This window comes from Homo sapiens, chromosome 12, assembly GCF_000001405.40.
Source record: "Homo sapiens chromosome 12, GRCh38.p14 Primary Assembly".
In the NCBI taxonomy this organism is placed as follows: Eukaryota; Metazoa; Chordata; class Mammalia; order Primates; family Hominidae; genus Homo; species Homo sapiens.
The window spans coordinates 1,753,214-1,773,686 of NC_000012.12; the positions used below are offsets into that span (position 1 = coordinate 1,753,214).

The 20,473-nt window shown below is 37.3% G+C and overlaps 1 protein-coding gene and 1 pseudogene across 10 annotated transcripts in view, besides 1 other annotated feature; one reads left to right on the forward strand and one right to left on the reverse strand.

Moving 5' to 3' along the window:
• ADIPOR2 (adiponectin receptor 2) overlaps positions 1-20,473 on the forward strand; it is a 97,605-nt gene that overhangs the window by 62,144 nt on the left and 14,988 nt on the right. For all 10 annotated transcript variants that reach the window (XM_011521024.2, NM_001375364.1, NM_001375365.1 and 7 more), the window contains 2 exons: positions 1,045-1,301; positions 19,629-19,748. In XM_011521024.2, coding sequence (XP_011519326.1) covers positions 1,131-1,301; positions 19,629-19,748 — 291 coding nt within the window. In that variant the 5' untranslated portion in view covers positions 1,045-1,130. The remainder of the gene's footprint in view (positions 1-1,044; positions 1,302-19,628; positions 19,749-20,473) is intronic.
• Positions 3,947-4,819, reverse strand: RPS4XP14 (ribosomal protein S4X pseudogene 14; annotated as a pseudogene).
• Positions 12,684-13,184: an enhancer, noted in NCBI's record as "H3K4me1 hESC enhancer chr12:1875063-1875563 (GRCh37/hg19 assembly coordinates)". NCBI's record gives its function as "activates a minimal SCP1, AML or CMV promoter by ChIP-STARR-seq in naive H9 embryonic stem cells {active_cell/tissue: H9 hESC(naive)}" and the evidence as "EXISTENCE:reporter gene assay evidence [ECO:0000049][PMID:30033119]".

The window sequence follows — 20,473 nt, forward strand, 5'->3', positions numbered from 1 at the left end:
TATACCCTGGTCTCTTCCTGTTTTGGTATTTCTGGTTGGATTGACTGTGATAATCCTTATTGGATATTCAACTAATTGTCTAAAATAAGCTTACATATCATGAGTTAAGAGGTATAGTGCCAAGGACTTGAAAAGCTTGAACTCCTAGGACTTACTTGCTGCAGTCCAGTTTAGAGAGAAATTAATGATTTCTGAAAATGTTCTTAGCACTCAAGAGCATTGAGATATTATCAAATATTCATTAAACATTTGTGTGCGTAGCACTTTCTGGGAACCCAGATGGATGTAAAACGTGTATGCTTTGGTCCTGAGTTTCTTCCTTCCAGGGTAGTCTAGTTAGAGTTCAGAATAACTCAAAAAAGTTGAAATGTAAGACATTAAGCCTTTTGAATACAAAATATTATGGATAATATGTGCTTATAAATTTGAAGACTTTGTCCTGTTTATTTTTTATAAAGTATGGTGAATTTTGTTTTCCTTTACCTGTGAACTAGAAATAAAAATACCCTGTGGGGTCATTGTGATGTTTAAATGAGATTGGATATGTAAAGCCCAGTTATAATATATAAACTTACATATATTCTTTCTAATACATACAATTAGTATTTAGAATTCTAATTTCTAATTGTATACTATTTTTTAAATTAAACAAGTAATATGATACATGGTTAAAAAAAATGCAGGCAGAACAAAGTAAGTATTCTTCTCACTTCAGACCCGAGGTTCTTCCATATGTTCTTCTGTACCAAGAGTATGGTTTTAAATATTTTTCATTAATTATTCTAGAACATATGCACTTACATATACTTACATATTTTTATAACATATAAGTGGGAACATATTATTCATGTTGTCTTGTATCCTGTGTTTTTCATTTAAAAAGAGATTTTTGGCTATATTCCCTGTCAACAAATATAGCTTTTAAGTACATTATTCTTTTATTATTGATTGCTGAGTATTCTGTCGTTTGGATATGTGATAATATAACTGATATTTTCCCCAGCACTCCTTTAATGCATTTTTTCAAAACTTTCATCTTCTTAGGATCAACTCACTATCCTGAAGGTCCATTCTCCCAAGAAGAGGGGACAGAAAGACAGATCTATTTGTAAGAAAGGCTTGGGTATCCCATGAACGAGCCAACAGAAAACCGATTGGGGTGCAGCAGGACTCCAGAGCCAGATATAAGGCTCAGAAAAGGGCACCAACTGGATGGTACACGAAGAGGTGATAATGACAGCCACCAAGGAGATTTGGAGCCCATTTTAGAGGCATCTGTTCTATCTTCCCATCATAAAAAAGTAAGTCAAATTGGAAGAATGATAAACAAAGGAAAAAATGTGGAGGAAGTGGCAGAGGGAGGATATGGGGAAAAAAAAGTGGGGGTCCATTGCTGGAGGGAGGATGGGGTGGTAAGAAGGAAACTTGCACATTTGTATTTTTTTCTTCTGGATAACTTGAAGTCTCTTATCTTTATTATTATTATTACTACTACTACTACTACTACTACTACTACTACTACTACTACTACTACTATTGAGACGGAGTCTCGCTCTGTCACCCAGGCGGAGTGCAGTAGCATGATCTCGGCTCGCTGCAACCTCCGCCTCCTGGGTTCAAGCGATTCTCCTGCCTCGACTACAGGTACATGCCACCATGCCAGGCTAATTTTTGTAGCTTTAGCAGAGATGAGGTTTTGCCATGTTGGCCAGGCTGGTCTCGAACTCCTTACCTCAGGTATCCTCCCACCTCGGCCTCCCAAAGTGCTGGGATTACAGGCATGAGTCATCGTGCCCAGCTTCTTATTCTTAAATTAGCTTAGATATTATTTGATTTTGATTTTATGGTTAATGTCTTTCTGCTGACTCTTTTTTTTTTAATTTCGGAGACGGAGTCTTGTTCTGTCGCCAGGCTGGAGTGCAGTGGTGCGATCTCAGCTCACTGCAACCTCTACCTTCCAGGTTCAAGTGATTATCCTGCCTCAGCCTCCCGAGTAGCTGGGATTACAGGCACCTGCCACCACGCCTGGCTACTTTTTGTATTTTTAGTAGAGATGGAGTTTCACCATGTTGGCCAGGATGGTCTCCATCTCAACCTCCTTATCCACCTGCCTCAACCTCCCAGAGTGCTGGGATTATAGACGTGAACGACTGCGCCCGGCCTCTGCTGACTCTTAAAAGCGTACTTAACCTGCTTTATCTTGTTGAAGGGAGAAGACGTGGTCTATGGGTACCATATAATCTAATTTAACCATACTTTAGCTATGACGTTATCTGTTATTTTTGGAGAAATTCGAATTGCGTGTTAGAGCTACTTTTCCAGAAATTGTTTACCTCCAGTGTATACCTTGGGAGTCAGTAGAGTTCTGAAAGCTGAAGCAGATTTTATTCTTTCATTTCCTAGAGAAAAGAGCAACCTTTAGGCAACTATACCTATAGAGCAGAAGTATCAGAAAGTCATTGTTACAGACATTTTGCTATGTGCTTTGGAACTTCCAAATTATATAGCATGTGTTTAATGTTTTATTACTAGTACAGTGTTTCTCAAACTTTGGGTTGTACCTATTAGTGGGTTTTGAAATTAATTGTATTATAAAGTGTTAAAAATTAAAGATCAAAATAGAATAAAAACATTGAAGTGTGTATATAGTAAGTAATACACATTTAAATTGTTTTAGTTTTATATAGTTATGTATATAAATATGAATAATAATATGAAATACATTTCTTACTACGGGTTGTGGTTAACATTTTGAAAGCTTCTACTGGGAACAGCAGCTGGGGGAAGAGTGTTTCAAGGTAGAGGAAACAAGCTAGTGCCAAGGTCCAAAGGTGGGAATATGCTTATCTTCCTTGCCTTCCCCTCCTGCCTCCCACCACCACCTGCGCCTGCTTGTATCATCTTTCTCTTCTTTCATCTTCTCCTTTATTTTATTATTATAATTATATTTTTTTTGAGATAGAGTCTCGCTCTGTTGCCCAGGCTGGAGTGCAGTGGCACCATCTCGGCTCACTGCAACCTCCGCCTCCCAGGTTCAAGTGATTCTCCTGTCTCAGCCTTCCGAGTAGCTGGGACTACAGGCCTGCGCAACCACATCCGGCTAATTTTTGTATTTTTAGTAGAGACGGGGTTTCACCATGTTGGCCAGGCTGGTCTTAAACTCCTGACTTCAAGTGATCCGCCACCTTGGCCCCGCAAATTGCTGAGATTACAAGCGTGAGCCACTGTGCCTGGCCTTCTTTTTTTTTTTTTTTTTTTAAAGGACCAAAAGAAGGCCAGTGTAGTTAGAGCATGAGGAACTAGAGGGAAGAGTGAAATGAGATAAGGTCAGTGGGCCAGTCAGAGAACAGATTATACAGGTTTATTCAGGGAATTTAAATTTTATTTTAATAAAATTGCCTGGCACGTGGGCAGCTTTTGGGGTGTTTAAACATGGAGACATTTGTGTTTTTAAAAGTATGACTCTGGTTGTGGAATGGATTATTTGAAGACAGAATGGAAGAGGGACCCAGGTGTTAGAATATAGATGAGAGATGATGTCACTTGAAACAGCATGGTGGGAGCAGCAGAAATGGAGGGAAATGGTTGGATTCTGGATATATTTTGTGGGTCAAATCAACAAGACTTCCTGATGGATTAGCTGTAGAGTGAGGAAAATAGAGGAATCAAGGCTGATTCTCTGAGCTGAACTGAAATGGTAAAGCAAGAGGGAAGAGCGGGTTTAAGGTAGGGAAATCAAGAGTGGTGTTTTGGAAATGTGAGATTCAAGATTCTTGTTAGATATCTTAGAAGATATATTGAGGAGTCAGTAACTGTGTCACGATTAGATTTTTATTTACCTCTGTTTCTTAACTATTTTTAAAACTGAACTGTTATTAAGGAATCTAAGGAATTTTCAAGCTTGAAAGAATTTCAGGCTAGCCAATTTGAGATTCATAATGGCAATAAAATTCTGTTTATCATGCTACATTATTTTTAATTACGTACAAAGATCTAACATGTCACCCAGGGACCATTTCACCCACTGCTCTGTTTGGTCGCCAGTCTTTTGTCTTTCTTTTCAGCAATGGTGAGGCAGATACCCTTTTCCTCAGGGAAGAGAAGTCTGTGGTTTGTTGCCCTTGCCAATAACAAAAATGTTGGAAAGTTGAGTGGCAAAGCTGTTTCCATTGGCATCTTTCATGTGAACCACATCAAAAGATCCAGAGTGCCTCTCTCTGTTGGTTATCACACCAGTTCTTCCCAGGTTAGCACCTACAGTCACCATGCATAGGTTACCATTGTCAAACTTGATGAAATTGGTAATCTTGCCAATCTCCAAATCTGTCTGAATGGTATCATTCACCTTGATGAGGGAATCAGGGTAGCGGATGGTGCCGGGCATCATGAGTCACCAGATGAGGGATTCCTTTTGTGCCCCCAGAGATTTTTCTCACTTTGTATTTGGCCTCCTCAGGTGTAATAGGATGTACAGCAAAGCGACCCTTGGTGTCATAGATGAGACGGAAATTCTCCCCCGTCTTGTCAATGCTGATGACATCCATGAATCCAGCAGGGTAGGTTATATGAGTTCGGACCTTGCCATCGATCTTAATGAACCTCTGCATGTAATCTTCTTTACTTCATCTCCTGTCAGGGCTTACTTAAGTCTGTTCCTTAGGAATATGATGGGGAGACACTCTCTCAACTTGTGGGGACTAGTGGATGGACGAGGAGCAAACACACCGGTCAATTTATCCAGCATCCAATGCTTTGGAGCTGCTGCCCACTTCAGATGCTTCTTGGGACCACGCGCCATGGCTGCGTTAGGCAGGGAAAGCAAAATATATTTTTAGAGTCCAGAACTTGCCCACCCAATCACTTTTGTGTCAGATTTACATTAATTGATTTTTTTATGTGTTGTAATACTATATATTTTTGTTTCCTGTCTTCACTGGTTGAAGTGGTATCTTCTGTAAATAATATTTGTGTTTTAATTTCACTAATAAATAATTAGGTGGATGGGATTTTTCCCATCCTTATGAATGAACTCATTTATTGCCCTGAAAGCCTCTCTTTGATTTTCCTTTTATCTTGAGCTAATGCAAAAGTTAGCAGTATGAACAAAAGAACCATTTTTTCTTTCATTTGTTTTAATAGATTTTTCTATGAGGAGCCAAGGAAAGAAAGGATCCATAGGTTGTGGAATGTTAGAGCTGAAAAGGCCTTCCAAAATCATCTTGTTTGCCTTCCTCAATTTACCAGTGAGGAAATTGTGTTTTTATTCCTAATGAAAATTTGCGTGTGTATGTTGTTTCTCTTTGGAGTTGAAGTTGTTTGCTGAAAAAGAGAATCTATATGCAGTACTGTCCCTTGCTGCCAATTTCACGGTTAATGTATACTACACATGGGAGCTAGAAAAGAAGGGGGATAGATAAGAGTTATAGAGAACTGCAGTTTTGAGACTGAAATTAAAGGCAAAATATTGATATCTTCACATGATTTGAGGAGTTCCATATGCTGATTTTTTTTGTTGTTTGGAGAAAGGACTCATTTCTTAAAATTTTCAGTTTTGAAGTTGAAACATCTGAACTGTAGACTGCAACCTTCTGGATAATTCTAGTAATATCTTAATTGTGTCACTTTCACAGACATTATCTCATTTGCTTCTCAAAACTATACTCTGAAATAGAGCAGATATGATTTCTTTTTGAAAGTAGACGAAAATAGGATTTAGAAAGGTTAGTTTAGGAATTTGCCCAAGGTAACATGACAAGATGAGAGCATGTGCTAAGTCTTCTGACTGCTCTTTCTGCCGAACAAAGCTGCCTTTATGAGAATTGGCACCAGATTGACTTAATGTTTCTGAATTCCAAACTCAGTCCCTGAGTTGTTTATATTGACCTAGAGGTTAGATTCAACAGTTGGTCTTGTTTTTTGGCAGAAGTTGTTGCAGACCTCGTTTTCTGTTAGGCCAGGGTAATTTTGCTTCTCAGATGTGTTCTAACTTTGTAATGGGTTTTCTGTTTATTTTGAAAGCAAATAGAACGAATATATCATAGTACAGTCATTCACATTTCTAACAATTTTGCATCATTTTCTTTGTTTTTTTCCCTCTTTTAGAAGATGCAGATCTTAACTAAATTGCTTAGGCTTCATTTAAAACATTATGGGAGCCCTTAGGCTCTCTTAAGTTGTGGAGATTGGCATTCACATGCCAATCATGAATAAGGATCAAAGTAAAATAGGAAAAGCAGCAGGGGTGTCTCGTTTTTTATTAAGTGGAATTCTGAATTTATAAAGTAAGATTTAAGGTAATTATGTGCATTACAGACTGTGGTATCTTTTTGTACAAGTCTTTATTTACCGCCAGGTTTCTTTAAATCAATAAACCTATTAGGAGTGCCCACCTGATCACATATTGCCCTTTATAGAAAACTACAAATGCCAGGATTTTATTCCAGGCCTGCTGAATCAGAATCTTTGGGTCCTGGGTATATTTTTTTTGTTTCACAAGTAAGATGCTCACTACTGTTTAAAAACCTCCTTCCTGGCCAGGCGCAGTGGCTCACACCTGTAATGTCAGCACTTTGGGAGGCCGAGGCAGACAGATCATGAGGTCAGGAGTTTGAGACCAGCGTGTCCATCATGCTGAAACCCCGTCTCTACGAAAAATACAAAAATTAGCTGGGTGTGGTGGCAGGCACCTATAATCCCGGCTACTTTGGGAGGCTGAGGTAGGAGAATCGCTTGAACCCAGGAGGTGGAGGTTGCAGTGAACCGAGATTGCACCGCTGCACTCCAGCCTGGGTGACAGAGTAAGACTCTGTCTCGGGGAAAACAAAACAAACAAAACAAAACAAAAAAAACAACCTCCTTCCCGTAGGAGATAGTTAAGGAAAACAAATAAACAAAACCCAAACCAGTGCCTAATTTTTTTTGATATTTATTTATTTTAAATAAGTATTTTATTTAAAATAGTTAATGTATTAAAAACTTCTTAGCAACATGCTTTGCAAAGAAATCTTAACACATTCTCTGAAGATTGTTAGGGAAATAAAGTTAGATTTATTTACTGTTTGTTAAAGGAAAATATCACATTTACTCACAGTTGACTCTTAAAACATTTTTTTTTGAGATAAATTTTACATACCATAAAATTAACCCATTTAAAGTGTACAATTTAATGGTTTTATTAGTCACAGGGTTGTACAACCATCACTTCATTCTAACTTTAGGACATTTTTATCATCCCCTAAAGAAACCTTAACCCATTTGCCATCACTTCCCATCTCTACCCCCAACCCTAGGCAACCTCTAGTCTACTTTCTGTCTCTATGGCTTTGTCTAATCTGGACTTTTAAATAAATGGAAGTGTAAGGCATGTGGTGTTTTGTATCTAGCTTCTTTTACTTAGCATAATGTTTTTAAGTTTCATCAATATTGTAGTATGTACCAGTACTTCATTCCTCTTTATGACTGAATAATATTCCATTGTATGGATATACAGGGGTTCTTTCTTATTTGTGGTTTCACATTCTGTGGTTTCAGTTACCCATGGGTCAACTGAGATCTGAAAATATTAAATGGAAAATTCCAGAAATAATTTCTAAGTTTTAAACTTTGTGCTGATCTGAGTGGTGTGATGAAATCTCTCACCTTCCTTGCCCTGTCCTGCCTTACCCAGGAAATGAATCATCCCTTTGTCCAGCATATCCATGCTGCAGATGGCTGGCTACTTAGTTACTTAGTAGCCTTCTGGTTATAAGGTCACAGATCACAAGAAGCGTGAGTGCAATACACTAAGATATTTTGAGTGAGAGAGAGAGCATATTCACATAACTTTTTTTTACAGTATATTGTTATAATTGTTCTATTTTATTATTGGTTGTTAATCTCTTACTGTACCTAATTTATAAATTAAACTATGTTATAGGTATGTATATATAGGAAAAAACACAGCATATATAGGGTCCAGCAGTATCCATGATTTCAGGCATCCACTAGGGGTCTTAGAACATATTTCCTGTGGATGGGGGGAAACTACTGTACTATAGTTTATCCAATAATGAGTTGATGGACACTGGATTGTTTCCACTTTTCGACTGTTGCAAATAATGTTGCTATTATCATTCATGTAGAAGCTTTTGTATGGATGTGTTTTCATTTCTGTTGGGTATATACTCAGGAGGGATTTTTCTGGGTTATATGTTAACTCTGTGTTTAACATTTTGAGAAACTACCAGACTGTTTTTCATAGCAGCTGCACCAGTTTATATTCCCACCAACAATGTGTGGGGGTTCCACTTTCTCCACACCCACACTAACTATTGTTACTATATTTTGAATATAACTATCCTAGTGGGTGTGAAACGATATTTCATCATAGTCAGTTAGCTCTTGAGCTTTTATGAAGAGACCTGCCTAGGTTAACTTTAGCTCAGGATTTTAAGTATTAACCTCTTTGAGGAATTTGGAAATAGAAGCTAAATTCAAACTTACTATAAAACTCAAGTTGTGTCAATTTCACTTCAAATGGTCTCCTCATCATCTGTTCTGCCATTACTTTAATCTAAGCCACCACCATCTTCCATCTGGAATACACCTGACAGGACTTCTGTTTTGTTTCTTGTGCTGTCCAATATATTCTTCGCACAGTTCCTAGAGAGAGCTCTTAAAAATATAAAGTTTATTATGCCATTCCCATTTAAGAAATTCATTTGTTTCCCATTGCACTTATGGTACAATCCCAAATTCTTTCTATAACCTTCGGGATCCTGCGTGATCTCACTGCTGCCCTATCTGGCCAACTTCATTTCAGGACATTCTTCTCCATGTTCATTGAGCTGCAGCCGCATTGGCCTTATTTCAGTTTCTTAAACAGGCTGGGCTCTTTCCAGCTTCAGAGCCTTCAAACATGGCTCTTTCCTCTGCCTGGAGTGTTGTTACACCCACACCTCTGGCTAACTGCTGCTCATCCTTCAGTATTCAGGTTAAGTTCTCTACTTCCACTTCATTCTATTTCAAGTTTCCCATTGTTATCTTTAATTACCTTTTATTTTCCATTACAATGCGTATCATGACATATATTTGTGTGACATATATTTATGTTTATAAACATATATATAAAACATATTTTATAAAAATTTATAATTGTTTAATAATTGTTTTTGCTTGTAGACTCTTCAGTTCCATGGTGTAAGAATCTTGCCTTTTTGTTTTCCTCTGATATCCTCAGAGTCTAACCTGGTCTTTGAGTGGCATATAACAAATAGTTGTTGAATGAATTTATCAGCAACAAATATAAAGTTCTGTGTCTAAGTGGTTTCAAGTAGTTTCTTTAAAGAGATGTACAAAAGGAGCACGTGGGGACGTATACTATTTAGATGCTTAGGGAAGCTTAACTAATCTACTTCTTTAATCTTAGAATAAATGCATTCTTATCAGGAGAATAATGATAGTTCACTTTTATTGATCTTTTACAATGGATGAAGTAATTTTTTGAGCTCATTTGAATATGTTATTCGTTCCTAAAGTAGCCTTTTAGAATAGATATTATTAGAATCTGTTTTACAGATGAGGAAACTGAGGTTTCATGTGAATGTATGTGTATTGTACACTGGGACTCTTGTCATGGGGATGATATACTTTTTCTCTTCAAAGGGGCAGGGTTTTCTTTTCATTGGTTTATTGTAAAAAGTGCGATATGGCAATTTCAATGGTTATTTGCCTTTAATACATTTTAAAATACATTATTTCCATAGATGATAAGAATTGTGGAAAAAGAGACCCTGTGATAGGTGATAGTGATCCATTGTAGTTGTGGAATTGGCTCTCAAGTAACATTAAATAAAATACCTGTGTGTACAGTTAGATTACGTTTACCTGTGCATAGGAATCCCTTCCTTATTTGAGGTGTTGGAGAGGTTAGTCTCTTTGGTTCCTTATGAAGCAGGATGGATTTTTAGAAAGAGTATTAGAAACTAAATACTTTAAAATTGAAATCTCTGCAGTAGGAATCTGTATTTTTCACAAGTTCCCCTATGTGATTGTGAGGCACACTTAATGATGGAGAGCCAGTGATCACAGTTTTCTTTTCATAATGCATATACGGAAGTTCCAGACCGGTAGGAATTACATCAGGGTAAAGCTGGGCCTAGAGGAGGTGGGTGTTTCTTCTTTTGTAAATGCAGTATGTAATAGTATGCCTCTTGTCTCACAGGGTTGTAATGATAATAACTTAGTGCATGTAAAGCAGTGGTAACACTGCCTGGTACAGAGAAAGCACTTAATAAATGTTAGATGTAGCATATCATTGGAGGTGTATATTTGTGTCAAAAAGAAAAGACTTCCTCTGTTATATCAAAAGGACAAAGTTAATCTTTCTTTATTTCTTTTTGTTTTTATTAGATTTGTATTTATCTTATAAAAAATAGATTGGTGGTTATCTGTCTCCACTCACTTGAACATGTTTATTCTCTGCATCCAAAATAGTCCAGGAATGGCTGGACCTGGTGGCTCATGCCTGTAATCCTAACAACTTTGAGAGGCTGAGGCGGGCAGATCGCTTGAGCCCGGGAGTTTGAGACCAGCCTGGACAACATAGCGAAACCTTATCTCTGCAAAGAATACAAAAATTATCCGGGCCTGGTGGCATGTACCTGTAGTCCCAGCTACTTGGGAGGCTGAGATGGGAGAATCACTTGAGCCCAGGAATTCGAGGCTGCAGTGAGCCATGATTGTGCCACTGCACTCCAGCCTTGGCAACAGAGTAAGACCCTGGCTCAAAACAAAAAATTACACATATAATGTATATTCCAAGAATATTGTATTTGTGCAATATTTAAGTAAAGAAATGAATGATTAAACCTGAGTTTTAGTCCTGGCTGTACTGCCAGCCAGATGTGTGACTTTGGCCAATTTTCTTGATTTCTTTGGGTTTCATTTTCCTTACATTAAAATGGAGATGTTTAACTGGGTGATAAACATCTAAGATTTTCTTATCCTCAAAATTTCTGTGGTCCCCGACACTATATTAATACTTTTTTGTAATGGGATAAAAAATGAGTGAGGGTCATAGTTTACTTTTTTCATAAATCAATCCAGTTAGGTATCTTTGCTTAAGCAGCCCTGTTTAATGCCTTCTTTGATCACTTTTATCGTGCCTGGTTTTATTTAGTGAAGCCATTTCTGTGGACTAGTAAATAATTTTGAAGGAAATAGTTTGGTAAAAGGAAAAAAGCAGGGTTTTGTACTCAGAGTGACCTAAATTTGTATCCCTGATCTCTTCTGTATCATTATTTTTCAAACTTCTGTGTAAGAGGACCCTTCAAAGAAAAACAACAAAAACCTTATTAAAGTATTAAACACACACACACACACACACACACACACACACGTAGATATATTGTAAGTGGATAGTCTGATAAACTTTTATAAACTAGACACTCCTGTATAACCAGCACTCCTGGAGGTCTCTTTATTACCTCCTCATAGTAACTGCCTATTCCCACTCCCCCAAAGGTAACCATTACCCTGACTTCTAATGGCATGGATTAATTTTGCTTGTTTTTATACTTTATCTCATTGTAATCATTCCATATGTACTCTTGTATCTGGCTTCTTTTGCTCAGTATGATGTTTGTGAAATTCATCTGTATTTTCTGGGTATAGCTGTAGATTATTCATTTTTATTGGTCTGTGTTATTTCTTTATATTACTGTACCAATTTTTATTTTATTTATATGAAGGCAATCTGGGTTGTATCTAACTTGGGGCTATTATAAATAGTGTTGCTATGAACATTCCAGTACTTGTTTTTTAGTGAACAAATGTATGCACTTCCATTAGCTACATACCTGTGAGTGGAATTACTGCGTTAGGAAGATGATCCCATTCTCCCTTTAAACATCAAAAATATTTAACAGACCTCACTACATGATACTCACATTTTAAATATTAGTTTGAAAAAAATACATGATAGAAATTGGCTATGAATTCAGTTCATCTTAAGTGAATTTGTATTTTGTGATTCACGCAGCACCTACATGATTTTAAATTAGTTACACCTACTTTATGAATATGAGACATTTATTCAGTCTACAGATTACATTTAATGTGCATATACACTTGCATAATTTTTGAAGTAATTAGCCAAGATAGTGGTGTTAGGTTGGGAATTAAGGTACTACTTAAAGCTGTGTACTTTCTCTTAGCTTCTGTTTCTTCATTTACCATGTTTGATCTAGATTTCCACTTAATAAAATGGGAATAGAAATATACTCATTTCAGAAAATTGTTATGAGGGTTTGATTAATTTGTAAAAAGCACTTAGTACAATGTCTGGCATGTAGTGTATAATAAATAATAATTGTTACTCTGTCCTTCCTTTATAATAGTACTTGACTACTCCATAACTGTAGTAAGTCCTGATAAACACATCTTGAAGTTATCCACATATCTCAGCCACCCTTGATTTCAACAGCCTTTTCATAAAGGTGATTTCTAAATCTATCATCTTAGTGCAGTCTTCTTTTTTTTCCCCCTTTTTTCTTCTATAGCCTTCAAATGAGAAGTGCTTTCTTCTTTATTGGACTTGTAACCATTTCAAATTGAACTAATGTTAAACTAAGGTTAACTGTCCACTCCCCCATCAGCTTTTCCTTCTATTCTAATTTTCTAATCCTAATTTCTCTTAAATAGTACCAACTTTCTTTCAGGTACTCAGACTTGGTTCCTAGACTGTCAAGAGTGGAAGGGATCCCATCAGTCATTTAGTTTAGTAGACACATGGATGCTTTTAATCCTTCTACAAATGTTTTTAGTTTCTTTACCATGTGTTGGCACTTTGGACTTGAGAAGACATAGTTTTTGCCCTTAAGCAGCATGTAGTTTAGTTGGAGAGACAGGTAAATCAGTACATTTGTGGTGAGTGCTGTGTGGTTTTATGCACAGATTACTATGGTAGTAACTCCAGTTGCAAATGGATTTAGCTAAGAAAGGACTAAAGGACATTTTAGACAAAGGGAACAGCAGATGTGAAGATTCAGAAGCAGATGTAATACGATGCCTGTAGGGAATAGTAATAATAATAGCTAATGTTTATTGAGTACACACTGGCACATACTGATGTCTGAACCTGAAAAATTTCTAGCATAGCTGGAATGAAAGGTCAAGGTGTATAGTGGGGTGGAGGATGTGGTAGTAAGTAAGACAAGACACCTGGGGCCTGAAATCTAGGTCTTTAGCCTCCTGGTCCAGTATTATGCCATCATTCAAATTTCTTTTTGCAATTTATATCAGTTTCAAATTTTGTGTAATGTTGTGTACTGGTTGAAATGATTAGACCATTGCCCCTAGGCCTCTGACCCTAAAGCCTGGACTCTTTTAACTATATTTGCTAAAGTATATAGTTAGGAGGCATTCTGTAAGCTTTTGGACAAAAATATAAGAGAGGCATTTCAAACCAGGTTGTCCTGATCTTTATTTTTATGGCTCCCCTCTGCCTCCCTGCTCCCTTTCTGAGCTTTCAAGATATTAGGTTGAATAAAGAGATCAGCCTTTATGGTTGTCCTACTTTTCTTCTGCTCCAGATTCTTCTTTATAAATTGGGAGATAAGGAACTTTTATTCATTCAACCTTCATATTCTGTTAAACTGGTTTACTTTAACCAAAATCAAGAATGCCACTATATAATAGTTTATTGTAAGAAAACTAACTTGTAAATAGACTCTTGTCAATCACTTCATTTTATTTTCATGGAGAAGCCTGCTTAAGAAATTCAATTAAGATTAGAGGCCGGGTGTGGTGGCTCACGCCCGTAATCCCAGCACTTCGGGAAGCTGAGGCGGGTGGATCACCTGAGGTCAGGAGTTCGAGACCAGCCTGGCCAACATGGTGAAACCCCGTCTCTACTAAAAATATAAATAATTAGCCGGGCGTGGTGGCAGGCGCCTATAATCCCAGCTACTCGGGAGGCTGAGGCAGGAGAATCGCTTGAACCCAGGAGGCAGAGGTTGCAGTGAGCCAAGATTGCGCCATCACACTCCAGCCTGGAGGACAAGAGCAAGACTTCGTCAAAAAAAAAAAAAAAAAAAAAAAAAGATAGAATTGCTATTTGAGAATTTTTAAAAAACTGAGTGATTTTAAAGATCTTTTCCATTAAGCTTTGATGGAAGTCAGAGTATATATATTTCTAGGCAGGCCAAAATGAATATTCATATAGACTAGATATTATAGTTATTCTTTTGGAGAATACTGGGTATACATCCATCAATACTTATTCTTCAGCTATCATTTTTTTTTGTAGATACCTTTGTTTCCACAAACCTCTTTGTTTTCATTTGTTAGTAATATCAGCTTGCTAATGCCCTTGCTACACATTTCCAATTTCTAAAGTTAAGGCTGGCTTCAACCTGTCAACTTGTAAAAAGACCATAAAAATCACCTGTTGATCAAACTAAGCCAGGTTTATTACATACTCCAGTAAGGGTGAACACTGCCCTAAAGAGTCCTAGAAGTATTTCAGAAAGAAAGTATTGGATATGGATATTTACAGGGTTTTGGGGTCTGGTTTCAAGTAGTTTAAGGAGATTTTACTTGGCCCTGTTCTGAGTTTGTGATAGAATTCTTAGACCAAGTCTTGATAAACAAATATTTGTTTGGTAAGTGAGCATGTTTGCCCAGTTGAGCAATGATTAAGGATCTAATTGAGCAGTCTGTTGTTCAGTTAAATGAATTTTTGAGAAATTCCTAAAGCTAATGATGAAGTTATTTACTGGTTTGCATTCTTACCTTCCTGGGCAAGAATTTCCGAGAACAAATAATAAAGTTCTGTTGATATAGGGGCCTTAGATCTTAGTCCTTATAATTAAGCTGTGTGAATGCAGAAGGTCTCAGTTCTCAATGACATTTATAAAGGCAGACAGATTTTAATCAAAGGTTTACTGTCTCCAGCCCTGGATATTGTACCATTTCTTGACCTTTTTCATCTAATTGTGGATGGTAGATAGTATCATGATTGTGAGTCTTTGTGGCACTTCTTGTACTTCCACTAACATTTAAATACCTCATTTATGTTTTGCTACTTTCCTAAATGCCCCCGAAGCTCTAGATGAACTAGTCTCTTTTTCTCAACATGGCACTTTTGCTTTTCCCTCTTGGTTATTTTCCTTTATCTCATCTTTGCAAAATTTTTATTCTTCATGCAGGCTTTCCTGAGCCTCATCATGTTTATCTTTGAACTAGCTATACCTTTTTTTCTATGAAGTCATTTATTTGGCTAATTTAGCACTTTATTAGATTGTAAGTCCATGGAAGACAGAGACTATGTTTTATTCATCTTATTTTTAATCATCTAATAAATATTTGTTAAACTGAATTACTCTGTTGAATTGAGTTAGGCCAAAACCAATAAATACCCAATAGGTTTGTGAATTATTTTCATATTAGACTGATCTTAAAGACCTTTTATCTTTATCACTATGGTTCTCTGTCTTTCCAAAGGTAAAGTGTACTCTGGAAAATTCTCATTTTAGATTGCAGTTTGGACAGATCATCAAAGTCAAATGTTACTATGTTTTGAAATACAGTCAGCAAAGTTCTCACAGATGGACTTTACTGAAAACAGATGGCGGGAGGGGGGAGATATTTCAAAATGTCTTTGTGCTCATTTCAAAGCATTGACCTCTACAAGTTTAAATATAGTTATTCATAGAAAAACCTGGAGAATTAAGTTTTATGCCTTTATTCTTGGCAGCTTTGGTTTTGTTTAATCTGTCACAATGTCATGTTTCTTGTCATAATTTTGTTGAGGGTGTGGTAAGGAGTATGACAACAGAAGCAGAACATAGCATGTATGTGATCATTGAATATAGATACAATTTATTGTTCAGAGAGGTATCTTTGGGTACTGTGGTTTGGTGGCTGTTGGATGGAAATTAGAAATAGTAATTTCACTCATAATAAAATAGTTATTTGGACTTAATATTGGAAGACAGAGACTATTTTAAATATAGCGTCTAGCATAGTCTTTCCAAGCCATCAGTATGTGACATATGGTATACCCTAGGGAAAGTATTTTTTTATCCTGTTTTAGCCAGTGTTTAACTCTGCCACTGTATTCCTACTTTATCCTCTCTCTAACCCAGGGAACTGCATTTACCACCACCCACACCACGTGGATACCGCATTAGCAACTCCGTTAATACTTGAACACAATAAATAGTTAATTATGGTCTAGTATTTTAATTTATCCTTTGAGAACATATTTGTGAATATTCCTTTATACAAGGGTAGGAATTGGTCATAGTACTTGATAAATCAACAGATTTATTAATACTTTGCCCTTCTGAAGGAAATATTTTTGTTTTTGTTTGTTTCTCTTGTTGCCCAGGCTGGAGTGCAATGGCACGATCTCGGCTCACTGCAACCCCCACCTCCTGGGTTCAAGCGATTCTCCTGTCTCAAGCCTGCTGAGTATCTGGGATTACAGGCGCTCGCCACCTCACCTGGCTGATTCTTGTATTTGTAGTAGAGACAGGGTTTCACCACGTTGGCCAGGCTGGTCTCGACCTCCTGACCTCAGGTGGTGCACCCACGTTGGCCTCCCAAAGTGCTGGGATTACAGATGTGCGACACTGTGCCTGGCCGGAAATAATTCTTTTATAAAGATTCTGAATCTTGCTGATATATTGGGATGGATGGAAATATTTATCTTTACTAAAGTAATTTTTTTTTTTTTTTGAGACAGGGTGTAGCTCTGTTGCCCAGGCTGGAATGCAATGGCAAGATCACAGCTCATTGCAACCTCGACCTCCTGGGGCTCAAGGAGTCCTCCCCCTCAGCCTCTTGAGTAGCTGGGACTGCAGACAGGCACGCAACACCACTCCTGGCTAATTTTTATATTTTTTGTAGAGATGGGGTTTTACCATGTTGCCCAGGCTGGTCTCGAGCTCCTGGGCTCAAGCCATCCTCCTGTCTTGGCCGCTATCAGTAGTCTTATATGTAACCAGTTGCACTTAGCCTGATAATCAGAATTACTGATTGTGAGTAATCTCACTGATTACTTACTGAGTCACATTGATTCGGAGTGCAGTTTCATCATGTTTACTTAATGGTAGTATACATTAGCCATATTGTGTTTTATGTACATATCTGTAGTTTTGAAATGGCTGACAGTAATTTGTATGAGAATAAAGACTCTTTGTTTCTGTTTCTTTGGAGAATCAAATACATGTTGAATATGTGCAAATATCTGAGCTATTTTATATAACATAATTTTATATTTTAAAATCGGTCTGCTATAATCATTTCAAGCTATTGCCCGTTTTCAGGTTTTATATAATTTTAATGGAATTTTGTCATTTTAATTTCGTGTTTAATTAGGCACAGCCCTCATTAACTTATTGTTGAAAGTCTCCTAGAGCATTTATTAATTTAGCCATCATGTAAGTATGTTCCAGAAGCCATGGGGAAGAAGACAGACACTTAAAAATCTAGTTTAGGAAATGATACGCTAAAAATGTAAAATTCTATTAAACGTTAAATAAAACAGTATTAGTCAGTAAAAGAGCTGTAATCAGATATTACTGTCAAATGAGAGGCACAGACTTAAGTGCTAAAGAAGTCAGAAGAAGTAGTCAGAAGAAACAGAAGTCAGAAGAAGCAATTGCTGTGGATTAGATAGGTTATGCAGTCTCTAATGAAAATTGGTTCTTGGTGGGGTAGGGGATGAAAAACTATTAAATACTACTATGGTTTGGAACCCCCCATAGGGCCACAGTACATAGATAGTATATCTGTGTTATTAAAATTCATGGGGATGAGGAAAGCAATCTAAAATGTCCCAGGGCCGGGTGCAGTGGCTCATACCTGTAATCCCAACACACTGGAAGCTGAGGCAGGAGGATTGCTTGAGGCCAGGAGTTCAGGACCAGCCTGAGCAACACAGACCTCGTCTCTACACACACGCATGTGCACACAACAGACACAGTGGTGCATACCTGTAGTGCACGCATGCACACACACGTGCGCACAGTGGTGTACACCTGTAGCCCCAGCTATTCAGGAGGCTTAGGTGGAGGATTGCTTGAGGCCAGGAGGTTGAGGCTGCAGTGAGCCATGATCGCACCACTGTACTCCAGGAGCCTGGGTGACAGAGCAAGACCCTGGGGTCTCAAAGAAAAACGCTGTCTCAAACTAAAAAAAAAAAAAGGTCCCGGGGCTTGTGGGTAGCAGTAATGAAAGGTTGAGGAACACGAGTTTAGGATAGTTAAAGAAGGGTTTTAAATAGGAACTATGAAGGTTAGTCATTGAAGGATAGATGGTAAGTTTTAGGTAAACAAAGATGGAGAGGTTATTTTATTCAAGATGGTTTTCTTGGAGATTATGTGTTTTTATAAAATCAGACTGGGTGTATAACATGTCTCACATGCCGCATCATAGCCTCTAGTTAGTGTCTTATAAACTGAAGAATAGGAAAATTAAAATCTCAGAATTTCCTTTTAAACAAGATCAAATTTAAAGTGTTGTAGTAGATTACCCATTGCCTCTGTGTTCATTCTTACCAAGTAGTTTTTTGATTAGAGGTAGAGGATTTATTCATTTCTTTGTGCAGTCATGTTAGCAGTACTGTTTATCTAAACAGACTCTTGGTTACATACGGAATTATGGTTCTCTTGTGCTGTCTTATTCATTGAGTTAAAGAATTATAGAATTTTTTTAGAGATGTAGAAGACTGTAGAGATTGTTTAAACTCCTCCATTGATACATAGGGAGAAAATGGACCTGCAGTGAAGATCCATTGATGTTAGTGGTGGAGCTGGCCTCACCACTTTGGTCTCCTGACTTGCAGTCTACTGCCCTTCTTCTCACAATATCATTTTATCTAAACCAGTATGAACCTTGGTCTGGAGGCAGAAATTTTAATTTTAGTAATTTATCTCTTTAGACCATACCAGATTGTCACTTCTTTTTCCATTTCTCTAGACAAATCAGTCATTTTCTCCAGAATGTGGAAAGGCAGTGGGTTTTGGAGTTTGACTTTTCCACTTCAGCTTTAACCTTGGACAACTTACTTAACTTCTTTGCCTAATGCTCTTATATGTTAAATGGGAATGAGAATACTTACTTAATAAGGTGGTTGTTAGGATTAAGTTAGATGACCTATATATAAAGCCTTTTCCTCTGTGTTGGATATATTTAAAAAATTTATTAAATGTTTTTCTCCCCTTTCTTTCTCTGCCACTAGAGTACTTACCACATTGTGTATCACAGTTAGTTATTTTATGTGTCCCAGGTGCGAGTCTTGGAGGTTTTCCCCTTAGTAATTTCTCAACTTTATGTAATATTATTATGGGGTCTATGACATAATTTTTAAAAAACAAACCAGTAAAGCCAGGAATTTGCTACTGAAACAGAGATGCTGCTATAGTAGACAGTTAATTCATCTGTCAGAGAAGAATTGAGTACTAGTGTTCATTTTTAATACTAATAATTCTATAATAAACTGACTTACTATATTGTTGATTCTTGTCTAAGGCCTTGTTTTGACCTTAAGAATTTCATTATAATTCCACAAGGGAAATGTATTGATTGTGTCATTTGGCTCCCAGTCTCTGTCCTTGACTGTTTCTGTGATTGCCTTGCAGAGCTCTGAGGAACATGAATACAGTGATGAAGCTCCTCAGGAAGATGAGGGCTTTATGGGCATGTCCCCTCTCTTACAAGCCCATCATGCTATGGAAAAAATGGAAGAATTTGTTTGTAAGGTAAGAGTGCAGTTTCTTGTCATTGTCATGCTATATATTTAGCCCTTCCAAAACAGAAACCTTTAAAGAGAGTGGTAGTACTATAGCCTTTGGTTTGCTTTGGGGAAGATCTGTGGCAAGATGGGGACAGAAGTGGTCTTGGGACTCTAATCCTGTTGAAGACAGAATACATTTGTTGGCTTGTAGTAGCCATGATAAAGCTCTGATAAAACTAGGATATCCAGCTGGGAAACAAACATTTCCTAATGTAGGTTAACAGAGTAAATGTCTTATTGGTGGTTTAGACAAACAGAATGAAACATAGTCAGAAGTGGTTGACGCCTGGAGATATGAAAATGCCCTCCGCAGGTCCCTTAAATCTGTTCTGCTGAGTGACTGCAATGGCAAATGTACTGTTCTTTCTAGGGATTCTGTGAGTAATCAGGCTACTCTTGAGAGAGATTTTCCAGTTTCCATGTACATCTGGTATTTTCAGTTCAGCTGGTATACATTCTGTCTCTTAAGGTTTTTCTTCCAGTCCATTGTCTTGATTCCCTAGGACCTATTATGGGATTCTTTTTTTTTTTTTTTTTTTCTAAAATAGTAATTAGAATTGAGTTTGCCTGCTTAGAGAAAATAGACACACTGGTAAACTTGTAGGTACTTGATCAATCAGATCAATAAGGGCCCTGGCAGGTAGAATCTAATTAATGTAAGTCGATCAGTCTGTGTGTATACGTATGTGT